This window comes from Homo sapiens, chromosome 4 (genome assembly GCF_000001405.40).
Source record: "Homo sapiens chromosome 4, GRCh38.p14 Primary Assembly".
NCBI lineage: Eukaryota > Metazoa > Chordata > Mammalia > Primates > Hominidae > Homo > Homo sapiens.
Genome location: NC_000004.12, coordinates 111,631,775 through 111,650,167, shown reverse-complemented (window position 1 = coordinate 111,650,167; position 18,393 = coordinate 111,631,775). Strand labels below are relative to the sequence as shown.

General features: G+C 34.4%; 1 long non-coding RNA gene across 4 annotated transcripts; it reads right to left on the bottom strand.

Annotated features, from left to right (window-relative positions):
* Positions 1 to 1,359: 1,359 nt before the first annotated feature.
* Positions 1,360 to 17,998, bottom strand: LOC105377366 (uncharacterized). 4 transcript variants are annotated; one of them, NR_188426.1, is made up of 6 exons: positions 17,764 to 17,998; positions 13,237 to 13,330; positions 9,646 to 9,741; positions 7,793 to 7,927; positions 4,497 to 4,613; positions 1,360 to 2,017 (listed from the first exon to the last, which is right to left on the bottom strand). It is a non-coding gene; the product is annotated as an uncharacterized LOC105377366 (long non-coding RNA). The 4 variants fall into 4 exon arrangements; NR_188427.1 differs by having other exon boundaries at positions 1,360 to 1,689; NR_188428.1 differs by lacking the exon at positions 17,764 to 17,998 and adding an exon at positions 14,128 to 14,321 and having other exon boundaries at positions 1,360 to 1,689.
* Between the last annotated feature and the right edge of the window lie 395 nt (positions 17,999 to 18,393).

The window sequence follows — 18,393 nt, the reverse complement described above, 5'->3', positions numbered from 1 at the left end:
CAAATATTATCAACAAAGCCACTGGACAGAATTGTTTGGGAAATGCTGTATTTTGGGGAGTTTTCAGAACCTTTTTTTTGAGTATTGTCACATGTGTACTTACTGTATGCTAATGTATATTTTTAATCTCCAAAGTTTCTTAAACTTATTTGATCAAAAATGTTTTGCAGAGAGAGAGAGTATCCGTATGTAGTTTCCTGTTCCACAAAATACACTTTGGAGAAGATCTGTTTAGTCTCCACACCCTTCACCTCCTACCCTCAACACTCTCCCTTCTTCATTCCTATCCCATAACTTCTGACACTGACAAGAGTTATGCTGGTTCTGATTAGAATTCTGAATATCAGAAAAACATTGCCACAATTGAGATGTATGTAAATATATATCTTTCACAGTACCTCAATGGACATGGTCCTTGCCCAGTGACCTATTGATAAAGACCTGTCAAGCCATAGAAAAAACACCTGTTTTTTTTTTTTTATCATTAAGTTCCAAAAAGTAACAAAACTGGACCACTGCTAGCTCTTTAGTGGGAGTCAGCATTTCTATGTATACTAACGTTTTGTAAGTGTCAAAAAATTGCTATCAATGTACTGTTACACCCTACTTTCTACTGAGGGTGTCTGCAATGCCTTCATTGCACTGCAGATGTCAACCTCAAAACTGGGGAAAAGTATCTGGGGACTCCCAGACCATTTCCTGTTTACTCTCTTCTCAGGCAGATTAAGCTACAGCAAAGAGGAGTTAGGATAGCATTTGTTTATTTCCAGAGCGGTCAAAATTGTTCATTGAGTAGATTAAATCCTATGAAGAAAAATACCTATGGTTAGAGAGGTTCACTCACTCCATTTCTCCGTCAGTCTGCCTTCTTTCCTTCCTCAGGTGCTTACCAACTACTTCCCCATTTCTCTCTTTCTTCAACCACTTTCCTTTACTCTTCTTGTTGTTTTTTTTTTTTCTTTGGTTGTCATGTCATTCTCTTTTCCATTTAAATCTTTATGATTTAGTTTCATTTAATGATCCGAAAAGTTGTGTAGACATAATAGCCAAATAATTGCCTATTAATTTATCAGCACTACTCAGTGAGATAGGTTTTCTGAAATAAAACTGTATGGGTTTAAACTTAATTAAATAAGCTCAAATATTCCAAATATATGAGAGAGATTTTTTCTACAAAGCAACCTAAGATGTTTAGTACATTATAATTATGTTTTAACTAGTTGTTAGGATATTTTATTAGGTTATGTTAATAATGTAGAACAAATCTGTAAACAATAACATTCTAATTCTAAATGGATTTTTCCCATGTGAAAGGATGGGCAAAGATACTTTCACTGAAGGCAAAAGAATAAAAAACAGTGGCATTTTAAGATGTATTTGGATATTTTCCTTGGACAGTATTTAAAGTTTTCTTTGAGATTACAGATACTTTTCCAACGACCAAGATTGATAAGATAGCCTCTTGAGGCCCTCCCCAAAATGGCGAAGTTTTATTACTGCTCAGGGCGTTTTCATCCTTTTATCTTTGTAAGGTGAATAAATTGTTTTCTATGCAATATTCAATCTGTAGATCTTTTCTATTGAGACGCAAATCTTCTTTTGCTCTTTGCAGCTATATTTTTCAAATCTTATGATATTTTCCAGAAGGGTAGAGCTTCGAATATATCAATGGACTCAAATGTTAAGAATCTAAATGAAAATCAGGAAAATCAAGATCTTTGCCAGTCTCATTGGTTCATTGTTTGAGGGGATATTTTCTTAATATACTGCCTTGAATTCATAAAGTCCTTTATATTTCTAAAATAAGTTTTAGATTAATCATCTCATGAGACTTTTTCCTTGTGGCAAGGACGTAACCACTTCTGCCAACTATTACGTACAAAGAAGGAAAACCCATTGTTTATGAGAGTCACACGACATAACTCCAGTCACACGAAGGATTAGGAGAGAATCACAACCAGGACCCGTATCCTGAATACTAGTTTCTTGTATTCAGATCTCCACTCTTATCCCTAGCCTAGGGGTAAAAATATAAAAGAACAAAAAAGGAATAATAGTAGTAAGAAATGACAGTGGAGAAGCATCCTTGTATCTTAGCCTTAGAATAAATAAACTGGTTTTTGAAAATGGAAATGTTTTGTTAATAAATAAAAAAAATTTTAAGATAAGAAATAATAATATAAAGAAGTTCGTAATGCAATGTTTTTCAGTGATACTCTCACAAACAATTATTCTTCAGACCTATGTTTCTCTTTTTCAGTTTCCTTTTCCTTCTTCTTACCCCTTCCCATTCCTTCCCCGTTTTCTTGCCTTCTTACTTTTTTTTTTTTTTTTTTTTTTTTCCCCAAGACAGTCTTGCTCTGTCACCCAGGCTGGAGTGCCTGGTGTGTTTTTAGTAGAAACAGGGTTTCACCATGGTGGCCAGGCTGGTCTCAAACTCCTGACCTCATGATCTGCCTGCCTTGGCCTCCCAAAATGCTGGGATTACTGGTGTGAGCCACTGCTCCCGGCCTCCTTCTTACTTTTTCATAATATATATATGATGTGAAGTTGGTCAAGGCAAAGTTTCAAATTGCTATTTTGATTGAGAATTAATACATTTTTAAGCCAAAATGAGGATTATTGGATCAACTTTTTACTTAACGCTATATCTTGTCAAAAAGGAATCAAGAAAGATTGTTTTTTCTCTCTCTTATGTAACATTCCATAATGTCAGCAATAAGTTCAATAACCATTAGCGATTATTAGAGGATCATTCAAGAAGAAATTGACAAGTACCTAATAATTTTCCTGGGTAGCAAACTCTGTCTTCCTGTTTTGCCCTCTGGGCTGAAATAAAAGATTTTTCAAGTTCCAGACAAATGAAATAAGTAGAAAATGTCTATACTTTATTCTTGTAGACTGCAGCATGTTCCAAGGCCTCAATATCTAATTACACTTACTAGAGAGTTTTGAAATAAAGAGATAACCCCTTTGGCTATTAGGTGTTTTAAAAATTATGGGAAGAATCCCAGAGAAATTTTCCTCCCTCCTGACACACTCTCCTTCTCCTCCCCGCCCAAGCCCATTACATCTATTAATCACAGAAGCCATATTAATCCGTGTATGTACATTTCCTCATGGTATCCAAAAATCCTTGGGTTAATTTGAGTATGGGAGGGAATGTAATCGCATAGAGTTATTTTGTTGATATTGCTGTGTCTGCTGATACTCACATCAGCGATGAAGCAGGCTTGGGTGCTTTACTTATATGAATACATTAGCAGGGATAAATTTAATAAAGCAATAAGCATAATATTTGGCAAATATGATATTTGGGACAACCTCTTTACCTCTCTCAGCAGAAAGGACTAAGTGATTTTTCATAATTTACTGACCACATCTGGATGATTCTATTCATCACATGCAGAGTGGGGATTTTAAATTACACAAGGTAGGCATACATTTTGAGTTTAGATAGAAAGCTCCATGTCAGGACTCAAAGATTCATAGACTTAAAGAATCTCATGTTTGGGATGTTCTACCTCAGCCTGCTCTTTAATGCTTAAATCAACTCAAATTCCAACAGCTATCATCTGCCGGCTCTGTAATATGTGTCTTAGGCACATGCTCACATTTAGTGTTCCTATGAGGCATGGATTGTTGGCAAAGAAATTGCAGCCCTCGGAGGTTAAATAATTTGCCCAAAAATATGCAATTAGCTTTGTATATAGTAAGTGGTGGATTCAAGATTTGAACTTCTACCTGTATGACTTTATAACTGATGTTCTTTAAATTGCCACCAGGTTATCTAAGGCCATAACACAACTTACACAGAAGAATTCGAGAACACTGTGTTTTTGGTTAGCCAAATTCAGATATTGCATTAATCTGGTCCCTGACTATAGCTGAGAGCATTTTTTGTTTTGACATCCGCAACTGTCAAGGCCAAACCTCTATAAATACTCTCTTCTACAGATAGATGACACTGATGAGGCTAGAACTTATTTCTGAATATATGTATTTGTGTATATATACACAAAAACACACAAAAATATTTGTAGATCTAAATGCACATTTCTTTCTCCCACTAAAGAAGGGGAATGAGCGGGTGGATCACGAGGTCAGGAGATCGAGACCACCCTGGCTAACACAGTGAAACCCCATCTCTACTAAAAATACAAAAAATTAGCCGGGCATGGTGGTGGGCACCTGTAGTCCCAGCTACTCGGGAGGCTGAGGCAGGAGAATGGTGTGAACCTGGGAGGCGGAGCTTGCAGTGAGCTGAGACCACGCCACTGCACTCCAGCCTGGGCGACAGAGCAAGACTCTGTCTCAAAAAAAAAAAAAAAAAAAAAAAAAGAAGGAATGATTTCCACATAAGGTAATATTATCTGAATAAGGAAAAATATCAAATTATTTTTAAAAATATGGACAACTGAAGACATAGCATGTATCTCTCTCATCAAATAAAGAAAAAAATCATTCTTTGGAAATACCCCCTAATTAGTCTTTACCTGTTGCTGGTCGTCCATAGGCCTCTACTCCCATACTGCCCAAAGTAGTATGTTCTGCCAATTACTTTGAACTTCAGTTTCTTCACCAATACAATGGAACAAGAACAAATTCTACGTCTGAAAAATTTTTTAAAAAGTTTGTATTAATATATGGATTTTTTAATTACACTGCAAATCTTGGTTCTTCCAATTTTAAAACATATTTAATATTTATTGAGTGAGCATTGCTAAATGCTGAAAACTATTTTAAGCATTTTACATGTCAACCTCACTTGACCCTTATAATAACTTTATCAAATATATACTGTTTCTACCTTTAATGTATAGATGAGGAAGCTGTTATAGGGAGAAATTAAATACTTTCTTATGCTCATAGAACTAGTAAGTGAGGGATCCAGGATTCAAGACTGAGCAATCAGAAGCTAGAGAAAAAACTAAAGAGGTAAGCAGGAATTAGAATGTCGGTTTCATGAAAAGTCATTTGCAAAAATATTAGTGGTCTCTCCACTTTGCACTAGCCTTGGGGGAAGATTTCAAAGCAGAAATATTACTGAAAAGAAAAAAAAATAGTTTTGGAAAGAGTTAACCTGACTAGAACTATCCAGGTCTTTCCCCTAATGGGCTGTTTCTCTCAAGTAGACTGTGGAGTTTTCCACCTTGCCCTACCTCCAAGTCCCAAGGAAAAAAACTACATGACTCACGACAGTGCAAGAGGAAAAGAGTGGCTTTATTTTCAGATTCCAGATGAAGTTTATGATGTTGTCAGAAAGAAAGCCATTTGACTTATAGCCTCAGTAGTCTCAGTATAGATTCTTTTTTGAGACATACACTAGCTGTGGAATGCTACAGCATGAATTAGGTTTTACTATAATTTATTTACTGTGTTTTATAATTCAGAAGTTTTGAGATTAAAACTTCAATAATAGGCACTTCTTAAAAATAATTATGATGATGAAATCATAATAGAGCAAGAGCTCTAGAGTCAGACTTGGGCTTGAATACTAGTTTAGGTTATTCAACGTGGCCATTTTAAAAAAAAATTTGTACTTTAGTTGTCTTATCTGGAAAAAATGGGGTAATAATGGCCTTCAGGATTGTTTGGGGGTTAAATTAATTAATAAAACTAAAGCATTTAAACTGCTCAGAACATAGGAGGTAATTCAAATTAGCTCATAAATTTCTGATTTTTGTGTGTTTTTTTTGTTTTTGTTTTTGTTTTCTTTTTTTTTTTGATAAGGAGTTTTGCTCTTGTTGCCCAGGCTGGAGTGCAGTGGCGCAATCTTGGCTCACTGCAACCTCTGCCTCCTGGGTTCAGGCGATTCTCCTGCCTCAGCCTCCCAAGTAGCTGGGATTACAGGCATTAACTACCATGCCCAGCTAATTTTTTTTTTTTTTTTTTTTTTTTTTTTTTTTTTTTTTTTTAGTAGAAACGGGGTTTCACCATGTTGGTCAGGCTGGTCTTGAACTCCTGACCTCATGTGATCCACTCGTCTCAGCCTCCTAAAGTGCTGAGATTACAGGCATGAGCCACTGCTCCCGGCCAACCTCAAAAATTTTCTTTGGTTGATGCTAGGTTGGATGAAGATGAACACTGGCTTCTCTCCCTCTTTTTAAAAATGTATGGTGACTATGCTGAAATTTTTCCCATTAACTGGTCACAACTGCTGTGTTTGGTTACAATTGTGTGTTGTATATGCCACTCCTTTGAATTTAATATAAGATTCATTCTTTAGATAGTTCCTTTTGTTACATAAAACGATACTTCTTTCAAGGTGTGGAACTTTTTCAAATGATATATTCAAAATCAAATTAATTATTTTCTAATGGAATTAACTGTAATGGACACTTCTGTAAAATAAATTCTTTCCCCACTCCTTTCAGTTGTAATGTTTGGATGTGGAAGATTTGGAAAGCAAACTCTAGTGTCAGAATGAGTTTTATCCTTGCTTACTCACAGTTAATTTGTCCTTGGCAAATTAACCATGGTTACCAAATTTTAATTCCTCATCTTTATACATACTATTTAATGTACATCAAAAATAAGTCTTCAATTAAAGTGGATTGTGTGATATTATTATATAATTTTATGTATTTTGCATTAATTCTTAGTTTATTGGTATTTTAACTGTTAGAAAAAGCTAAGGGTAATAAGAGGAATATAGTAATTAGATTAAATTTCTGCCCTATAATTTACAATATAAGAATCATGAAGTTTGTGAAGTATTATAAAATAAGTAGACTTTTAAATATAAATTTCAAAAATTTATAATTTATATTCTTAATATAAATTTCACAAAGCACAGAGTAATGTATGCCTAGACAAGCTCTTCTTTCTGAAATTTGAAAGAAATGTCATAAATTTAGGCTAAAAATGCTTAATACCAAAATGACCAGTCCAGTCAAAACTGGAAGCAAAATATCACATAAATTATTTGCTGCTAAATATCTGGTTTATTTCATATAAACTGATCATTTTAATAGTCATAAGATCATCATAAAATATTAATGAAGAACATTATTTTTCAAGATTATTATAGTTTTAAATCAAAGTACACTAATACTTTCCTACATGGTATTTAAACGTAACAGACAGAATTAACTGACAAGCGGTTGGCAAAAGTGGACTTATTTGCAAACGATTACACATCCAACACAATATTATAAAAAGTATCTAGAAATTTGTTGGTTCTCAGTGCAAATTACAATTGATAATTTCTTATTTATAATTAGTAATTATATATTTACAGTGAAATTTAAAGTAATTTTATTACCAATCACTCAAATAAAAGATACGTACTTTCGAATGGTTCTTCAAAGGAATTGAAAAGCAAGTAGAAATTGAAATAATATTCAGTAATGGGATTATTGCTGAACTATCACAAGGAAAATACAGTTTTTAACTGTGTCAGTCAGTACAACCCTTGATTTAGAACTCTCTTAAATGAATTATTTCACTCACTGCAAAATTATTTCACATTACAATGCTACACTTATATTATTGTCACATGAATGGCATGGTTTGTACAGTTCATATTAGGATTCTAAATATATAGGAGTTATATAGTCATGGAGAGAAACTAATGTGACAATTCAGAATGATAGAAATTTTGGAAAAGTGGAATTTCCACAGAAATTTGATTTCTCAACCCCAAACTTCATGTAAGAAATGTAAGGCCTATATTTATTTTTAAAATCAAAAGTAATTAAAATCAATTTTATTTTGAACATACTGCTACACCCCTTATGATGACTGGTAGTAAAGTATGCTGTGATCAAGTTTGGAATTCAGTGCTTACCAATTTCTTTTTGAAATCAAAACTCTTTACCAGTGACTCCAGTAGAGGGCACCATGCGTAACTTCGCACCCTGAAAAGTCTCTGTTCTGCCTGCCTTCGGTTTTCTTAAGTCATGCAGGGGCTCCCTCTGCTGTCCTTTTAGACCAGAAAACAGATGTGAATGCGTTGACCCCAAATGTCACAATTGTTGTGCAATTACATTCTAAATATTATTGCATAATATTGCAGCTCCAGATCTATTTAACTTCACTACCCACAAGATTACAAGAAAAGATAGCAAACAAGTTGAGCAAGACTTAAATGCTTCTATAGGTAGTTTCTAACAAATGTTACTTCTACAATGACCAGGTAGGCAAATAAAATCAAATAGTACCTGCGCATTGTACAGTAATAGGCGAGAATGACACATAGCTATTGAAACTGTAAACAATGGTGATTAGTTTAAAGAATCAAAATACTTGGGATGTGAGTGCATGTGTTTTTGTGCGTGTGGGTGTGCGTGTGAGTGTGTGTACGCTAGATGGGAAAGAGGGAAGGAAGAGGAAGACACTACTTGCTTGGCTCCTACAACTATCTTTGATCCAAGTTATTTTCATTATACTTTTTTTACTTCATTTTAAGTGAAGACAGAGAATAGGTTTTGGCAAACTCTTAAGAGTTTGCTTAGTTATCTAACAGAATAAAAATAAATGAGGTCATATGTTTCTGCACATGCAGAGATACATATTGAGGCAATTATCTTGATAATTATTTTTTCTAAAATTACTTTTATATTAAATAGCAGGGTAATTGCCAAAAAAGTATTTTTAGCTTGCAATGTATCTTGCTACATACCGAATATTGTCCAATTTCTGTAGCAAAGCAGTTAGCAAATTATACAACTAGTATGCATTTTAATTTCCAGTAAATATTCTCATTCTTTACTTTCCTACCAGGGTTTGTCCTAATGCCACATATTAACAAATTGTGTTGGCCTTTATATCTTCAAGCCAAACACAAACTACAATTTCAAACAAAATTTTGGAAATTCTTGAAATGTTAAAATTTATCAGCTCCATTTTAGTAGAGTGAATATTACTAAATGGGATATTCAAGCTTTTGTAACAACAATAATAGAGCTGTTTTTATTAATTGGCCAAGTGAGTTTTCTAAGTGTTAATAACTAATGATTAACTATGGAACTTTAGTTAATGGGTAAATGATGAGGCAGAAAAAAGAAATGTTCTATGCAGTATATACATTAAATGGATATGTTGTCTGATCCTTTGGGTTACTCCTAACATTATCAGTGGTGGGGTTTTCGTGGGAGAAAACCAATGTTCTAAGCTCTTTTTGTAACATGAGGTTTTGAATATAAGCATTCTTTGTACCACTGACATTGCTATATTTGTAAAATAGTCTGGGACCAAAATTTGGAAAAAAAATTATAAAACTATTAACATTGATTTGCTTACCATTAAAACGTTATAATCCATGACCCCATAGTCAGAGAACGTTTCCAAACAAATACAATAAAAACACAATGTGAAAAAAAATAGGGCTTAAAATTTGGAGAATTAACTTTTTAATTAAGTTGGTTCATTTGCCTGATGCCTGCTCTAGACTTTGAGGGTTACTTGGCATGCAGAAGACAAAATGGTAAACTTCAGTGAGTAATGCAACTTTAGACATAGCAGACAAAAATCTTCACTAATATTTTAGAACAGATTTTTTGTTTTGGTAGATTTCAAAGGAGGGATTTTATTCCCCCAAGTTGGAATAATATTAATTAGAAACATATTTTTGAAAATTAATTTTTATTTCACACATAGTTCAGTTACAAAACATGTAGAAAATTTAGATCACAACATCACCTTTAACATCCTCTTAGTTGTTCTTGAAACTGATAGGACAGCCTTCTTGTCTTGGTTGCTTAATTTCTACTTCCAGTCCTTACAAATTGCTTACCTCTAAAAACAATTGACACCATAGTGAGAAAGCACAAAGCCCAAATCAAACTAAATATTTTATGTAATATTATGACTGAAATCACATTTTATTCAGAAATAAAAAAATCCTGTGTCTATAGAGTCCAATAAAGCATTGCCATACAACGATAATTACAAAAAGTTGCAAATGATTTTTAGGTGATTTTATGTTAAAATCACCTAAAGTTTTGACCAGATATAGGTATCATAAAGATAGGATTGGGCACGCTTAGTTTGTGTGAATTTTTCTTTGGAATTGCTATAAAAGAAAAAAAAAGTGACTCAGATTCACACAACAGCCTTCTTGCTGTAACTAATCCCTCTAGATCTGGCTGAGTCGCTCAGGCTGTACTTCCTGCCTGAACCCGCCTATTGAACTGAAGACAGAACAAAAACAAAATAAAATTTCGGCAAAGATCCTTTTCATTATTTTTTAAGAATGCCAAAACTTGTCGAATTATTTGAACATCAAAGTGTCTTCCTGTCTCTCGCTCATTGTCTGTGGTATAAAATTCCTACTCATTCATTGTCTTCATAAAAAGAGGGCACAAATCTTTTCAAGGAGCTTTGCAAGTAACCTGTGCATATTCCAGCGATGAAAAGTCCTTGCAGGTTCATAAAACTAGAGCAAATCAAACTCTCTTTAGAAAAGAGTTACTTACAGAAATATCTTGAAATCTCAAAGGACATTTTCTTTCTTTCTTTCTTTTTTTTTTTGAGAAAAGCCTCTATAAAATAATCTGCTTAAAATATGAGGATTTTTTTTCTTCCCCATTTTTTAAAGATAAGGATAAAGACTATAGATAATTCATGTGGATCAAAGCATGTTGGTTTAGTTATCTGTTGTAAGGTTTTACTTGAATCTTTTACAAAAGATTTTTGGTTAAGTCTTGTTAGGTCTCTGTTTTGCAACTCTAAGCTCTACGTTATTTATAATATTTTAACAAGGATTAGTGGAAGTGAGGTAAAGTGATGAACTTCCACATTTAAATAGTATTTCTTCTGGCAAATTTTAGTTAAAATATGATAAATTATATTTGCACAGACAAAATACACTGATAAAGCATCCGTCTGCCAGTGACTCACAAGGCCAAGTCTCCCTTGTGTACATTAGTCCGTGGAAGACATTTCACAATAGAAACCCTTCTAGAAAATGGACTCATTTGGTCTGAAATGAGTGAGAAATTCAGTCTGAAATATTGGTGAGAAACAATCCTAGTTCTCACCTCACTATCATGATTTCACCACTGGTTTGATTAGAACTTTTAGAAAGTTGAACCCCAACTAATTTTAGGTGCGGTTGGTTGAATCCCAACCCCACATAAAATTATGTGATTCCATCATTTAATGATTCTAAATCCCCTGGAAGACACATTATCAAACAATGCATTGTTCAGGGTAATATATTACCTTTGAAGCCTTTCATTCCAGAGAGATAGGCTGAAGGGCTTACTCCCTGACTATAACCTGATTTTCGGTTCTATAATAAGCACACATATTCTGAACAACATAAATGTATTCTACATACATTTTTCCTCTCTAGCCCTCTCTAAGGAGAGTTTCTGAGTTATTGAATTTTCCCTTTAATTTACCTTTCTACCTACATGTGGGTGCTCAAATTACTTAATTTCTAGTAAAAATTTAGGTCTTATTTTCTCTAATTTAGGAAGCTGACCCTGCTTCTTTCTGTAAGTAGTGCAGCCTGGATAGTTTTTGTTTCCCATAGAAGAATGTAATCTGTTGCTCACCTAGTGGGTTCTGATCTAGGAGAATTGGCAAAACTCTGCGGTTTGTGAGTAGCCAGGAACCCATAATAACATAAGTCTCTTCACACTACCCACTGGCTGTCTATATATCCATGTATCCATATGCATGTCTTGATAGAATATGCTTTAATTGTTCACCCATTCACCACCCCAACCATCTTTGTATTATTTATACTTGATATTGCTCCACAAATGATTTGGTTGACAAATATGGACATCTGAAAAATATGCACATACATACCAATGTTTCAGGGACTAAAGGAAAAGCGAAAATAAGAGGTGTGACATCTTGACCAAGAGCCACATCTTGGCTAGCACACAAAATGTGTTCAATAACTATTTGTTAAATCAGTGAGAAAAATCATAAGGGCAAATGCATCATTTGTATCTTGGATTCTGAGTAGCCAGCACACAGAAAATGGTAAACCTAGTAACATCTGCTTTTTAAAAAATTCTTCGAAATCTTCTCTTTAGATGAGCAACATGGTAACTGAGAGGAGAATATGAAGCAAGTTGTTCCACTTGTGCTTGGGGACATATTTTCTCTTTATTCCTGAGAAGCTACATGAATAGTACTTTCCAGAACTCAAGTGGGAGAATGTAACTATTGTGAATAATGGTTACATTATTAATTGTGAATAATAATAAATATAGTGAATAACTATTGTGAAATAGTATTGCTTACTAGTTTTCTAATGACCCAGTATATCAAATAATGTGCCAACTGTGACGTTCCTAATAATAATCTCCTATAAATGAAATGTCCAGAACTTGGAAAATATTTAATTTCTGGATTGAAAATTACAAAATCCTTGACTTATGTATCATTTTAGATGTATGTGAGAATTGTCACAGTAGGTCAATCAGCACAACATTCTTCAGGTTAAAAAGGTTTGCTGTGTAGAGCAAAAGGCTGTTCATCTTCTCTGATATCAACCTCAAAATATAAAGGTAGAAAGAAGACACCCTACCTTCTGTGTTTGTTATTCAGTTATTCATGAATTAATACAAACTTTAAGGTTTTTACTTTCAGGACAGATATTTTTAAATACATTTGTCTTTTCAAGCCCTAGAAGAGGACTAAGATATCCCATTTGTATATATGCACTCACACACACATCAACACATAACATAATGGATTGTGTCTCTGCTTATACATTCATATATTATTATGCCTCTTGGCATATCCAGATTAACTGGATGTATTTCTGCATGTATGTGCATGAACTCACAGGTGTATACTATTGCAGCCACACCCACACACACACTTTCCCAATTGTTATCTTCTGCTTTGCACATTACTGTTTCCCAACTTCCATGGCCTCCAGCATAAACATACCTTTCCTCCCCTGTTTACTGATTTACTCTTCACCAGATAAACATTATCTTGTGACCATGACCTCCTTGCTCATCTGTCAGCCTTTGCAAACCAGGGGAACTGTGACTGCCCAAGATCCCTTACCAGGGGAAAATATTAATCAGTTGTAAAGTTTAGGACTTGCACAACGGAAGCTGACACTTCTGAGAAGTCCCCCAAATATCTGTACCCAGCAGATGTTACTCTGCATATTTTAGGCTTAACGACCTCTCCCACCATGTAAAGATTATAGTGTTTCATTTCTCAGTAAATGTAAAGGAAACCTATTTAAGAAAGAATATCATTTATCCAGGGAAAACAAATCAATATCAGTTCTCTAGTTTCAATACTTACAGTAAGTGAATATTTCTCATGTTTTACTCATAAAGGCATCCCTTTAACCAATAAGTTTTGACGCTCTCTAAAATTCAGCAGGGGCAGCCTGAATCTGTAAGAACATTGAGAAGTCAAAGTTTTCACACAAGGATCATATGCACATTTTGCTTGCATTATATTAAATTAATAATCAAGAAATATGGGTTGAAAATATACCATTGATGACCACAAGTGTCTGTATTACAGCTTATGTGGTCGGGCTAAAAGTTATTGCATGCAAAGAATGCCGGGCACCAGCTTGCTTTATCTGACACCATGACAGTAGGAATTATCATATATCTATAGCAAAAAATAAAATTGTAGAATTGAAAAGGATAAATTTTACTCTTGCAATCTAAGAAATGTGTGACATGACTCTCACACCAACGACTAGAAAAAAAAATAGCCATTGGCACTAGCCATATTTTCAACTTCTCTCACTAGCAGGATGTCTTTCTTGTCAGTTTGAGTTTATTCAGGACACGGTTTTATACTCCATTCTTTTGAGTATGAAACTCTCATTCATTTTTTAAAATTTTTAGTATGAATTTCTAGTGTGAAAACTCCATTGTTTCTCCAAGTTATAGTTTTTAATGTGAAACTGGTTTTTGTGCTGTAATTATTGAAACTTGTAACAATCAACAAAAGAAAAAATTTTCAGTATCGATTTCTTTAACACCAGGGTCTCAAAACGAGTTAGATACATCATTTTTATACATAGTCTAACAAAGAGTGGCAAACCAAGGAAAGGCCACAGAGATTTCTTTTACAGAGCAGATCTGTTTGTTGTCCACATTATTAGCTTCTAGTATTGCATAGTAAAACCCCCCAAGTGGATTCCGAATATGCAGCAAATTTATATAAACTTACCATATTTTTTTTCCAGGCTGTGTTTTCCACTTCTTTCCCTTCCTGCCTGACAATATGTTGCCATGCTATAAAAGCCCTAATGCCCATTTTCAACGATTAGCTGTACATCAGCATTACCACCACAAATCCACAAGTTTCACATCAAGCATTAAATGGGATGAATATTGATCTGCTAAAGAGGATTTATTTATTTCTAGCTCTATCCAAAGATCAACTGCTAGCAGCTTTTGGGGGATCTGTGAAGCTCTCACAGCACAAAGCTACTGCATACATGACACTGGACTTGACATTTCAGTTCTGGAAGAAAACCAAACAGTAAATTCAGTGCAATAATCCTAGATAAATGAGATGATCACTGGAAAAGCTGAGATAGTTAAGTGGTCTATCAGAGAAGTCCAACGGATGGTATTGAACAGTTGCTACTTAGAATCCTCACTCATGTCAATATGGTCCAAAGCACTATCATATCAGATGCCAATATAATCACATTAAAACAATCTCTACCTCCTGCTTTCATTTCTCCGCGTGTGTATTTTTCTGGATTTACAAGTGATTGTAAATAATGCACAATGTGACAAAGCTGTAGCCTAACAATTGTTTTGAATATGTGTAAGCTGCATTGTAATATAGTATAAAATATAGACAATGCATTAAATCACCTTATGCTATGTAGCTTGTGGGGTGCAGCTTCATATTCTTACTGGTGGATCAAAGGATGATGGGGCATCGTGTTTTTAAAAAACAAGAACGGTCAAATTCTGTCTTAAATTTTCCGAGACCACTGAAGTTCCTTTCCTTCTCCCCCAATTTGTAATAGCTATCCTCCTCTATACCATTCAAGTACTATAATTACCTTAAACTTACAACTAACATTGGCTGAACCAAGTAAATACTCAGTGTTTGCAAAAATTCAGTGTTGTTGAGAGAGGTGCACTTTAACTTTGCCACAACAAAAATTTTACTTCTCCCCATACGGGCATTTGATTAACATTTTTTTTCTTTTAAAATCTTTTTTTAATCAGAAAATGTGAAAACTTGTGTACATCCAGCTTATTTAATAACAGACAAAATAAGAATCTTTCTCTCATCATCAGAAATATGAAAAATAAACTTTTTTGTCTATAAATATTAAAAATGCTTGTATTATCTTGGTGTAACTCATCAAACATTCATTTGAAAATCTAGCAACTCAGTCCTATCAATACATATAAAATAATTTATAATGAAGACTGATGTAGTAAAAATGATTGTGTTATGTGCCATTTTAATATCAGTCTATTTATATTAAAACAGGTACATAAGCATTATCTTATTAGATCACAAGCTGTGTGAAAGGCAGGCTGGTGTCTCATGCCAGTTGTACAGGTAAGGATTCAAGAGGGTAAGTTATTTATTCAGTGATGGCAAAAGGCTCCAGCTCAATTCTTCTCATGTCAGCTCCCAGGTTCTCATTCACAGACTTTGTGGTCTGCAAGTGTCCAGCTTGGCTGTCCATACAAAACAAATTAGCTGGAAAACCGTCCATTTCACTTTGCTTTGTAGAGACACCATCTGAAAGGAAGTGTATCATAAATCAATAGAGGTCGAGGGAAAGTTTAACTAAGCCACTTCCTCACCAAAGAGAAAAAAAAATGTTAGATTTTCTTCCAGCCTCTACTGCATAATAATGCTTTTCTGTTTGATTGTTTACATTCATTTTAATTATACCTGTCAAACTGTGTGGGGAGTAAGACGATGTAAATAACTGAAACAGAAAAAAAGAAGTGACATAAGACTGGAAGTTTTGTAGCTCTAAAATAAAGGAAGCAATATCTCAAATCCTAACTTTACCCTTTTGGAGAAAAATATTTCTATATTAATCATGTTTCTGGAGGTAGGAATATTATGTTTTGTTGTGGATATTTGAAACTTTTGGTAGCAGATGTCCTTGGAGAGATACCACTTAACTTAATTAGGGCTTATTCACAGGCCTGTGCGTCTAGATTGCCAAGGCCAAGTGATGTTTATCAGTCTAAATAGTGTCATTGGAAGAAAGAAAAACTGGAATAAGCGGTGCATATTTATCTTCACTCTCTGATTGTGCAGTTCATTTTAATTAATGTTAGTCACCCAGAAAATAGAGATCATACACACTGATTTTTAAAAAGACACTAAAATACCCACAAACTGCGTGACGCAATAGTTTGGGGGTTGCTTCTGAGATTTTTCAGTTACTCATTTTGAAAATCGTTTAAAAATTGGTAATTCTTTGGTTTTTGGGTTTTTTCCAAAGGAAAATAAAGCCTTATAATAATATCATATGCCAATTAATAGTTTCTTTTCAGGAGATGCGTTTTCCACATCTCCGAATCATATACCCTTTGGGAAGGAAAACAATATCCCCCTTAAAGGAAAATTTCGGGGGCAGAGGGGGGATATGGGATGGTTATCACACAAAATTGTGACCCTGTATTTAGGACATTTCTCAAGCCATTGATCCAGGAAACTGGAAAAGTCTTGAGTTTCAAGGCATTGATGACATCATAGAATATGGATTTTTTTTTTTTTTTTAGTATAACCTATCATTGATACTTTTCAAAGTTACCCATGCAGGAGAACAATTTACTCTCTTGGTTCATGTTGTCTGCCCTCTCCTTCTTCAAGGTCTCATTTTCCTTCTAAGCATCTCCTCTCTCTGGCAGTTTTTGTGAGATAAAACTCATTATACATGGAAAATTTCTATAAAAATCAGAGACTTGAAGACATTAAGAATCTCTGAGCTCAACTAACAACCATTCATCTCTGTTATGCTTAAAAGTTATCAGTAGGCACACAGTGGGAATCCAATAAATGGTTTTATACTAAACTACATTGAAAACTTTTTCACCATGCCACGCAATTAGTTAAGAGGAAATCAAGCTATTTAAAAATATTAGGAAATGCATTCAAGGATGACTTACACAAAATTTTTAAAACAGAAATACAAACATGTATTTATATCTACATTGTTGAGATTCTAAAGTCATTTTACATATATCTCAGTAGATGTTTCTAGTATGCCTGCAGAAGTCTTACTAAAGCTGGGAGTGCAGAATATTTGACTCATTCTTCTTAGTCATAATGCTGTTACCTAATACTAATGTCTTTCTTCAGAAACACTTAATAACATATGCCACATTGAAGTTGATAGCAATGCTTGCAGTTAGAGTAACATGGCAAAATTTCAGAAAGGAAGGAAAACAGCCCTCCTTCCCCTGCTTTAAAAAAAAAAAATATGGTCAGCCATGCCTTTTCCCTTTCTGCTGGGTATGTAAGACAATATCCATTCTGCCTTTTGTTGCAGGTAAACCAAGGCCATTTAGGTAATGTGTTGCTTTTGTCTTGATTGTTTATGCCAGTTATGAGCAAACATACAAGCGAAGTGCTAAAGGCAAGCTGTCAAGTCATTGTACTGAGAGCTGGGCTAGAAATTCGAGTTGAATTACTTAGTTAATCGAATGTCTCAATGTAAAAAGAGTGTGGAAATACTGTTTTGTGGTAGCTTATTTCAGAGACAGATCTGCTTAGATCTCTGCTACCGTTTTTTCCAATTTCCTACCAAGAGTAAATTGGTTTTGCTCACATTATTGCTCTTTCTCACGTTTCAGTTGGTCTTACCAGAGAAAATGGCTCAATGCGGTAGCAATGATTTGGAGAATACCAATCCCTTGATTTAGGCGACAGGTTTTTGTTTCTTCTCACCCATTGTTCTGGATGCTTTTTCTTCTTTTTATAAACAGAACAGAACAAAAGACTATTGTTCTTAACGTGCACTGCATGTGCTAGTAACGTATAAGGGAAAATATAACAGGAGGGGTTTTCTTTTCCAGTTACATATTATACCACTGCCTAACAGAAGTGCTAGCAGCATAAAATGATGCAATAAACCTCTCTAACAGTAGCTGATTTGTATGCAACAATGACCATAAGGGTAACTCTTCAGCAAACCTGAATCTCATATATAATGCATAGCAGTTAATAAATCATAGTAAAATCAGATGGCTTAGAGCCAACAGTACCCACCTAGTAATGGAAAGGGGTGGAAAGATTTATAGAGAGACAGATTCTGTCTGGATTTTGCTTTTAGGATGCTCAGCAACTGCAGTGAAGTATCTGACATGGTTTCTAGCTAGGCTTGTATTCTGTTCATTCACTCCATCTTTTTGTCTGAAGATCTTTTGCATAGAGCTGCTACCCTTTTTCTTCTACCACCAGGTGGAGTGTTTTCTACCATTATTTAAGGTTTTG